The sequence below is a fragment of the Homo sapiens genome, chromosome 8, assembly GCF_000001405.40.
Source record: "Homo sapiens chromosome 8, GRCh38.p14 Primary Assembly".
Classification (NCBI taxonomy): domain Eukaryota; kingdom Metazoa; phylum Chordata; class Mammalia; order Primates; family Hominidae; genus Homo; species Homo sapiens.
Window position 1 is genome coordinate 69651387 of NC_000008.11, and position 10422 is coordinate 69661808.

A 10422-nucleotide genomic window follows, 5' to 3' on the forward strand; every position below is an offset into this window, starting at 1 on the left:
GATATGTCTAATTGAGTGACCTAATGCTTCCAATATAATGTTACCCTGCTCCTGATTTCAATTAAAATGCTTTTAGAGTTTCTCTATTAAATAAGAGGCAAGCTTTAGGACTGAGTTATATATACTTTTATCATGTTAAGGAAATAGCCATCAGTTCTTTTTTTTAGTGCTTTTATCTTTAATGAACGTTGAATTTGTCAAAAAGCTTTTTTTAGCATCTATGAAGATGCTCAGATAATTATTCTCTTTAGATCTATTAAATTATTATTGTGTATTATATTAATAGATTTGGTAAGAATGAATCCTTTCATTCCTGAAATAAATTCCACTGGGTCATTGTGTGTTGCTTTCGTAATATTGAATTCTGTTCACTAATATTTTATTTAAGATTTTTGTATCATATTTTTAAATGATACCAATCTGTGATTTCCTTTTTGTTTTTACCAGCATTATCTCTTAGATATATTAGTTTCTTATTACTGCTGTAATAAATTACCACTGTGCCTTTAAAACAACACAAATTTATTCTCTTGTGTTTCTAGGGGTCAGAAATTCGAAATGAATCTTACTGGGCTGAAATCTTCTGGGGGCTCGAGGCAAGAATGTCCTTGCTTTTCCAGTTTCTAGAGGCTGCCTGCATTCCTCATTCATGGTCTCTTCTGCCATCTTCAAATACAAAAATGTAGCCAATCTTCAAATCAGTCTCTCCCCCAACCCCCACCTTCCTCTGTTTTCTGGGGTCACATCTCGTTCTCTACCCCTCCTTCCTACCACCTCCCTTTCCCTTTATAAGGACTCTTGAGATCCCACTGGCCCCACCTGGATGCTCCAGGATACTCCCCCACCCCAATCTCAGGATCCATGACTTAGTCACATTTGCAGAGTCCCTTTGGCCAGGTAAAGGAACTTGTCCATAGTTTCCAGGAATTTGGATGTGGACATCTTTGCCGGGTGGAGTCCACTATTCTGCCTATCACAGCTATCAATGTTATCCTTGCTTCGTGAAAAGAGTTTGGAAGTTTTCTTGAGTTATCTGCTCTAGAACAGTCTATTAGTATTCTCTTTTCATTGAAGATTTGTTAAACTTCTCCTGTGAAAGTCCACAGACCTGATGCATCTTTGCACAGTGGTTCTTTGGGCTTGCTTTTTCTTCTATGGAAACTGTTCTATTTAAGCTTTCTATCTATATTGGGTTGTTAAATCAAGTTTAGCCTAAATCTGCCTCCTCACATATTTTAAGTTCAGCCTAAAGGTTTCTCTGTATATCGTGAACTATAACCTAAATAGAGTTGTATACAGACTGTAGCCTACTCTTGTGCCCATCACTGAGTTTTGGCCCTTCAAAGGTGGCCAACTGCTCAAACTCTGTTCAAATAAGGCAAACACTGAGCTGTAACCAATCTGGCTGCTTCTGTACTTCACTTTTGTTTTCTGTCCGTCGCTTTTCTTTTTCTGTCCATACATCTTCTTCCACCACGCAGCTGCGTTGGAGTCTCTCAGTCTACTCTGGCTTGGGAGGCTGCCAGATTTGCAAATCGTTCTTTGCTCAATTAAACTCTGTTAAACTTAATTCAGCTGAGGTTTTTCTTTTAACAGCATCAATTTCGGCAAACTATTTTCCTGAGCAACTACGTTTCATCCAGGTTTTCAAATTTGTTCTCACTGAGGTCTGCAAAGTAGTCTCTTGTTTTTATTTTTTTTTTAAGATGGGGTTTCCGTCTGTCACCCAGGCTGGAGTATAGTAGCAATCATGGCTCACTGCAGCCTCAGCCTCCTGGGTTCCAGTGATCCTCCCACCTCAGCCTTCTGAGTAGCTGGGATTACAGGCGTGTGCCACCACACTCAGCTAATTTTTAAATTTTTATTAGAGGTGAGTTCTTGCTATGGTGCCCAGGCTACTGTTAAACTCCTGGGCTCACGCAATCCTCCCATCTCAGCCTCCCAGAGTGCTGGGATTACAGGCATGAGCCACATCTCTTGTGTTTTTAATTTTGTGTATTTCAACGATTTTTAAAATATTTACCAGTTTATTATAAAGGATATTATAAGAAATGCAAATAAATAGCCAGACAAAGAGGTACATAGGCTAAGGTCCAGATGGGTCCCAAACGCAGAAGCTTCTGTCCTTGAGTTCGAAGTGTGCTACCTTCACGGCATGTGGTTGCATTCACCAGCTGGAAATTTCTCTGAACCCTGTTATCGTTTAAGATTTTTAATGAGGTTCCATTACATAAGCATGATTGATTGCATCATTGGCCATTGGTAGTTAACTCAATCTCCAGGCCCCTGTCCACTCCACAGAGGTCTGAGAGTCCCAACTCTCTAATCATGTGGAGGTCTTTCTGATGATCAGCCCAGCTCCCAACCTAGAGCTGTCTAGGGTACCCTAGCCATCTCCTCAGCATATAAAAGACACTCTTATCTCCCTGGAGATTGCAAGGGCGTTAGGATCTCTGTGAACTGGGGGTAGACCAAATACATTTTTCTTATTATGCCCTAGTCCCCTGGCCATGAACCCCGTAGTGAGAAGATTATAAAAGTCAAAAGATATTGGCACATTCCTAGAATTGCATTCAGCCATCAATAATTAGTCCAGTCCATCATTCTGTCATATGAAAATACCTCCTAGGGCAAGGCCACTCAGGTTTGCCAGCTTCTGTTGGATCTTGCCAGGAGTGGCTTAGCAATATATGACCTCACCCTTTTAGGAGTCTGGTATAATGGAGCTAAGAGACAATGTCATCTCCTGTTCTGAGCCTTTTTCAAGCTGTTAATGTAATATTGGATTTCTCTCATGACTCATGACGTAACCCACTTATTCATTCCTTCAGCCTCAGTTACTATTCCTCCATCTCTCCATTTATGACCAAAGTTTTCCACCTTCGGAAGAGACATTAGATTCAGCCACTGTGCTGCTCTAGGCTTCAGGCAGCAATACTAGTCTAGTATTATCACTAGACTACCAATAATAGGCTAGCAAGTACCTCTTGCTCAGTCTGCTCCCATTCAAATAGAGTAAGTTTATATAGGTGCAGAACTAATGAACTGTTTTTAACCACCAGGCAGTATACCTGCATTCACTGTTAACCCCAGTTTTGCCAGATGGGGTGAAGGCACAACCTGCCCTATCAGGCCCTTAGGAATTCTGACATCGTTTTAAAGTATAATTAGGGTTTTTTGCTTAGGAAACATCCCTGCTTCCAACACCAGCAGTTGCATCTCTGCATCACGTATAAAAAAGAAAGTTGAAGTGCTGTGCAGAAGACTTGCATCATCACACCGGCATCCTCTCCTGCCCCCTCTCCTCTTATCCTCCTGCAAAGCAGAGAAATCTGTCCAGTGGGGGACACTCCCTTAGCCCCCTTATGTTGAGTGTGAAGGTATGTAAGCCAGCCTTCAATGCTTTTGTCTCCCCACATTTTAGACAGCAAATGTTTTAACTGCCCATTCCTTCCTGTTCTTATGGAACTGTTACTCTAAGGATAATGTGCACCATTATACGTCCATTTGATGTGAGCTATCTTTGCTCACTTTTGGACATTATGGGCTATAAAATGTGTCCTTTCATCTGAAGAAATGTAACTTGGTGGTCCAAATTAGTACAGTATTTTCCGTTCCTATCCTGTAATAATATTTTAAGCATTTGCATTGCATTTAAGTAGATGCAATGCTTAAAATGGGTCTACAAAACCCAGCCTGGGGTAAGTGTCTATTTCTGTTAAGACCCTGATCTATCCCGTCGGGGCTACTGGCATTGGTTGCTCCCATGTAATCCACTTACCAGCTATGCATGGGGTGCCTACCCCAGGGGAATCTGCCCCATAGCCATCTGCAGTCTCTGACTCTCTTTTTGGCATTATATGTCTGACAGTGCAAGAGGAATAGGTCCAGACTTAGCCCATCTCTGCATGGCTGCAGCACCACCCCCCATACCCACTCATTTTATGAGCCCCAGTGGCTACCACAAGGGAGCACACCAAAAGGTCCACTTGATGGTGCCCGTAATACTCCAATACATATTCTTATTTACTCTTGCTCCCTTGTACTGATAACACCTATTGTGTTTCTATATATTTCTCATTGCATCTTCTATAATTTCTTCTTTATCAAGATAGTTGCTCTTTTGGTAATTGTCTTTGTACTTACACATTTTTATTGCCCTTAATCCCTGTTTTGTGTTTTTTCTTTTTTGGTATTTTTAATAGAGACAGGGTTTCACCATGCTGGTCAGGCTGGTCTTAAACTCCTGACCTCAAGTGATTCACCCGCCTCATCCTCCCCAAACTACTGGGATTAGAGGCATGAGGCACCATGCCCGGTCTAAATCCCTGTTATCTTATTTAACCTTTCATTATCTCATTAGACAGTTTTTAATGGCTTCTCTCACTCCCAGCTATTACCTGAATCATACTGAATGAGATTATTCTCTTTGGTCTGTGCTCCCTCTCACATTTTTAGTTGCATTATTTCTAGCGTGTCCTATAAAATGCATATATTATTTTTTCACACTTCTTCTACCTTTATTTTTATCCTAGATCTGATAAATCTATTAAATGTGCACCCTCTATATTTTTGCTTCCATTTCCCCATTGATTTCTTGGACAAACGAGTCACAGCCTCTGGAAGATTGCTGAAGAAGAGCTGATGCGCACAGTATCCCCTGCATTCTTGTGTGTTTCAAACTGTTCCTTTATAGCCTTGATACTTGAAGGAGATCTGGACTGGATATGAGATGCTAGGTTCATATTTGAATTTCTGATTTCAGATGGCTTTTCCATCCTCATATGCTTGATTGAGAACATTTAATTCACACAGCACTGGTGTGTTGTGGTTTTCTGCACTTTATAGTTTATTTCGCCAGGAGCATTTTCTTAAGATGGTTTTTTAAATTCTTGTTTTCCACTTTATTTTTGTTGTTGTCGTTGTTGTTTATTTTATTTTTTTAAGTTCTGGGATACATGTGCAGGATGCGCAGGTTTGTTACATAGGTAAATGTGTGCTATGGTGGTTTGCTGCACCTATCAACCCATCACCTAGGTATTAAGCCCAGCATGCATTAGCTATTTTCCCTGATGCTCTCTTTCTCCCAACAACCCCACAACAAGCCCCAGTGTTAGATAGTTCCCCTTCCTGTGTCCATGTGTTCTCAATGTTCGGCTCCCACTTGTAAGTGAGAACATGCAGTGTTTGGTTTTCTGTTCTTGTGTTAGTTTGCTGAAGATAATGGCTTCCAGCTTCATCCATGTCCCTGAATAGGAAATGATCTCATTCCTTTTTATGGCTGCATAGTATTCCACGGTATATATGTACCACATTTTCTTTATCCAGTCTATCATTGATGGGCATTTGGTTTGATTCCATGTCTTTGCTATTGTGAATAGTGCTGCAGTGAACATACACGTGCATATGTCTTTATAATAGAATGATTTATATTCCTTTGAGTACATATCCAGTAATGGGATTGCTGGGTCAAATGGTATTTCTGGTTCTAAATCTTTGAGGAATCACCACACTGTCTTCCACAATGGTTGAACTAATTTATACTCCCACCAGCAGTGTGAAAGCGTTCCTACTTCTCTGCAACCTTGCCAGCATCTGTTGTTTCTTGACATTTTAATAATCACCATTCTGACTGGCATGAGATGGTATCTCATTGTTCTACTTTCTTTTATGGTAATTTGATATAGATTTAGGTTCTTTTATTTCATGGATTTATACTATTTACAACCCTCCTGGTTTAAGAGAATTCTTTTCTGTGAGTGTAACTAAGTATACTTCCTCTTTACCTTTTTATTTTATTATTATTTGGGAGTGAAAGTGAGAGAGGTTGTGTGTCTTCCAACTTTTCGTATCTCTTTTTTCTTGCAGGATCTGAAATTTCCCATCTTTTGCTTCCTCTTTGTTTTACCACCCAGTTTCCAATGGCTGTTTCTCCCTTCTCTCTTCCTTTGTGTCCTTTTCTGCCCTAAGCAATGCCTCCCAGACTGCTGCCTTCAATCGTGCACAGGCACAAGGCTGGGACTTAGGGGTCCCATCCTCATTGTCAGTGCTGTGGCTCACCAGGAATCTTTACAGTATTTTATGCAAAAGATTGACGTTCTTTCCACCAACAGCCTCCAATCAATCTTTGACTCCACTGACACTTCCCTCTTCTCTCTTCCATACTGTTTTCCCAGAGCTTGTGGCCACAGTGTGACATTCAGCTCTGCTGGGATTTGGTGTCAACGTTTTTTATCTACACGTGATCTGAAGATTGTAGGATTCTCTATCTTCTAGCTAGACCGAGGTTGTGGGTTTGGTATAGTTTTGCTTATTCTTCTTGCTGGTCTGTATGGCTTTATGGGTGGTCATTGCACTCATCTAGGCCACCTCTTTCCAAATGGTACTTAGGCACAACTAGAGAACAAGTGTTATTTTCTGCAGGGCTACAGTCATCCTGGAGATGTAGAAAGATCTGAGAGAGAGAAAGCTGGTGCCTTCTTTGCATATGAGAAAGTCATTCAGTTATCTAAGGCACACATTTATCTAGGACATAGAACTTTCAGGGCAAAAACAACAATCAAAGAAATAAATCCAGGCATTTGATTTGAAGAGCTTAATTGCATTCAGATTTGCTTTTATACTGAGTGTTAGGGAATATAAAATAAAAATATCATACTAAGCATTGCCTATTACATTCAAATACTTTCAAATTTGTCATTCACCCAGCAACCTTATAAGTAGTAATGATTTTATCATACAACTATTTCTACACTTGACAGATGAGGGAGCAAGACTCAGAGGGACTCACTCACATGCTCTTCTGGTTGCAAAGTTGATTTGAGTGGGGCCAGGAGTGAAACCCAAATCCCCTGGCTGAAAGGACCGTGCCATTTTCAGCACTAACCATGCTTAGTCATAGATGTTTTCACGAATGTGATCTTTTTTTTCCCCAATTTTCTGTTGTTTAATCACCTGTAACCTAAGGCCACTCTGTGATAACAAATGACTAGGGGAAAATGCTTTTGAGTGTCATACTTCTCATTGATTAACTCTGTAAAAACAATGTAAGTTGCTTGTCCAGGTAAGTAGAAAGCCTTTTCTCCACTAATGATTCACCTTCTTCTCTCTTTTCACAGAGGACAGTTATGGGATGGATGGGAAGGTTAATCAGCCCCGTCTCACTGCAGACATCAACTGGCAAGGCCTAGAGGAGCTACACAGTGTGAATGAAAACATCTATGAGTACAGACAAAACTACAGACTTAGTCTGGTGGACTGGACTAATTACTTGAAGGATTTAGATAGAGTATTTGCACTGCTGAAGAGTCACTATGAGCAAAATAAAACAAATAAGACTCAAACTGCTCAAAGTGACGGGTTCTTGGTTGTCTCTGCTGAGCACGCTGTGTCAATGGAGATGGCCTCTGCTGACTCAGATGAAGACCCAAGGCATAAGGTTGGGAAAACACCTCATTTGACCTTGCCAGCTGACCTTCAAACCCTGCATTTGAACCGACCAACATTAAGTCCAGAGAGTAAACTTGAATGGAATAACGACATTCCAGAAGTTAATCATTTGAATTCTGAACACTGGAGAAAAACCGAAAAATGGACGGGGCATGAAGAGACTAATCATCTGGAAACCGATTTCAGTGGCGATGGCATGACAGAGCTAGAGCTCGGGCCCAGCCCCAGGCTGCAGCCCATTCGCAGGCACCCGAAAGAACTTCCCCAGTATGGTGGTCCTGGAAAGGACATTTTTGAAGATCAACTATATCTTCCTGTGCATTCCGATGGAATTTCAGTTCATCAGATGTTCACCATGGCCACCGCAGAACACCGAAGTAATTCCAGCATAGCGGGGAAGATGTTGACCAAGGTGGAGAAGAATCACGAAAAGGAGAAGTCACAGCACCTAGAAGGCAGCGCCTCCTCTTCACTCTCCTCTGATTAGATGAAACTGTTACCTTACCCTAAACACAGTATTTCTTTTTAACTTTTTTATTTGTAAACTAATAAAGGTAATCACAGCCACCAACATTCCAAGCTACCCTGGGTACCTTTGTGCAGTAGAAGCTAGTGAGCATGTGAGCAAGCGGTGTGCACACGGAGACTCATCGTTATAATTTACTATCTGCCAAGAGTAGAAAGAAAGGCTGGGGATATTTGGGTTGGCTTGGTTTTGATTTTTTGCTTGTTTGTTTGTTTTGTACTAAAACAGTATTATCTTTTGAATATCGTAGGGACATAAGTATATACATGTTATCCAATCAAGATGGCTAGAATGGTGCCTTTCTGAGTGTCTAAAACTTGACACCCCTGGTAAATCTTTCAACACACTTCCACTGCCTGCGTAATGAAGTTTTGATTCATTTTTAACCACTGGAATTTTTCAATGCCGTCATTTTCAGTTAGATGATTTTGCACTTTGAGATTAAAATGCCATGTCTATTTGATTAGTCTTATTTTTTTATTTTTACAGGCTTATCAGTCTCACTGTTGGCTGTCATTGTGACAAAGTCAAATAAACCCCCAAGGACGACACACAGTATGGATCACATATTGTTTGACATTAAGCTTTTGCCAGAAAATGTTGCATGTGTTTTACCTCGACTTGCTAAAATCGATTAGCAGAAAGGCATGGCTAATAATGTTGGTGGTGAAAATAAATAAATAAGTAAACAAAATGAAGATTGCCTGCTCTCTCTGTGCCTAGCCTCAAAGCGTTCATCATACATCATACCTTTAAGATTGCTATATTTTGGGTTATTTTCTTGACAGGAGAAAAAGATCTAAAGATCTTTTATTTTCATCTTTTTTGGTTTTCTTGGCATGACTAAGAAGCTTAAATGTTGATAAAATATGACTAGTTTTGAATTTACACCAAGAACTTCTCAATAAAAGAAAATCATGAATGCTCCACAATTTCAACATACCACAAGAGAAGTTAATTTCTTAACATTGTGTTCTATGATTATTTGTAAGACCTTCACCAAGTTCTGATATCTTTTAAAGACATAGTTCAAAATTGCTTTTGAAAATCTGTATTCTTGAAAATATCCTTGTTGTGTATTAGGTTTTTAAATACCAGCTAAAGGATTACCTCACTGAGTCATCAGTACCCTCCTATTCAGCTCCCCAAGATGATGTGTTTTTGCTTACCCTAAGAGAGGTTTTCTTCTTATTTTTAGATAATTCAAGTGCTTAGATAAATTATGTTTTCTTTAAGTGTTTATGGTAAACTCTTTTAAAGAAAATTTAATATGTTATAGCTGAATCTTTTTGGTAACTTTAAATCTTTATCATAGACTCTGTACATATGTTCAAATTAGCTGCTTGCCTGATGTGTGTATCATCGGTGGGATGACAGAACAAACATATTTATGATCATGAATAATGTGCTTTGTAAAAAGATTTCAAGTTATTAGGAAGCATACTCTGTTTTTTAATCATGTATAATATTCCATGATACTTTTATAGAACAATTCTGGCTTCAGGAAAGTCTAGAAGCAATATTTCTTCAAATAAAAGGTGTTTAAACTTTTTTCTGTTTCAGAGAAATGAACTTAACCAAGTTTTTGTGGTACACCCATTTCTTGCAAGTAAAATTGAGTCATGATCTCTATTTACATGATTGAATACTAACCAAACTTATAAAATGGAGCTGAAGTCAATGTGTTATAGAACGTTCTCAGATTAACAACTTCACCACGGATTTACCTCATTGCTGTCTTGAGGGAGGCAGCAGAGGCAGCGCCAAGGTAGCTTTCCCGGCAGGCAACCTAGATGGTCACAAAGGGCCAGCACTTGGTTTAATGCTCTGATGTCACCGCCTTGAAATCCTTAATAATTTTTTAACAAGGGGCCCCACATTTTCATTTTCCACGGGGGCCCTGCAAATCAGGTCTGGGCAGAACCAAAAATGGTTCTGGGCAGTAAAATGGAATTTTTCAAAACCAAGAGAACAGACCCACTGAAGGCAGTGTCGGTTCTTCAGGAACCAGGAACTTGGGTGGAAACCTAAACACCCTTCAAGATCTCAAGTTTTTTGATACACAAATTCCATATGCTTCCTTCTGTCTGTTCCAAATCTCCTGAAGAAATTTAGCCTTCAGGTTGAGGGGCTAAAAATCTGTGAAATGTCCAGAGACCAGAAGGTTAAAAATAAATAAGAAGAAGAAAAAAAGAAAGCAAAGGGTCAGGGGACCTACCAATCCAACCCTTGGATAATTGAGGAAACCAAGTTTTCAAGAGAACATAGTCTAAGATAATAGCATTGTTGTCCAAAGGCGCATCTTGGTGCCTTGCTCCTTGTTCCTTTCTGTAAAATGTGCCTGAGTCAAATATTGCCATCCTGGAGAAAAATGCATCTTAGTTCCATTCAATAGCTGCATATGGAGTACCTACTATGTGGCAAGGACATGAGAGGGATTGCATGTC

General features: G+C 39.8%; 1 protein-coding gene across 31 annotated transcripts in view; it reads left to right on the forward strand.

Annotated features, from left to right (window-relative positions):
- SULF1 (sulfatase 1) overlaps positions 1-9526 on the forward strand; it is a 194132-nt gene extending 184606 nt beyond the window's left edge. For all 31 annotated transcript variants that reach the window (NR_182051.1, NR_182053.1, NR_182050.1 and 28 more), the window contains one exon: positions 7119-9526. Coding sequence is in view for 22 of the 31 variants with exons in the window: in NM_001412828.1 (NP_001399757.1) it covers positions 7119-7936 (818 nt within the window). In the remaining 9 variants the exon portion in view is untranslated. The remainder of the gene's footprint in view (positions 1-7118) is intronic.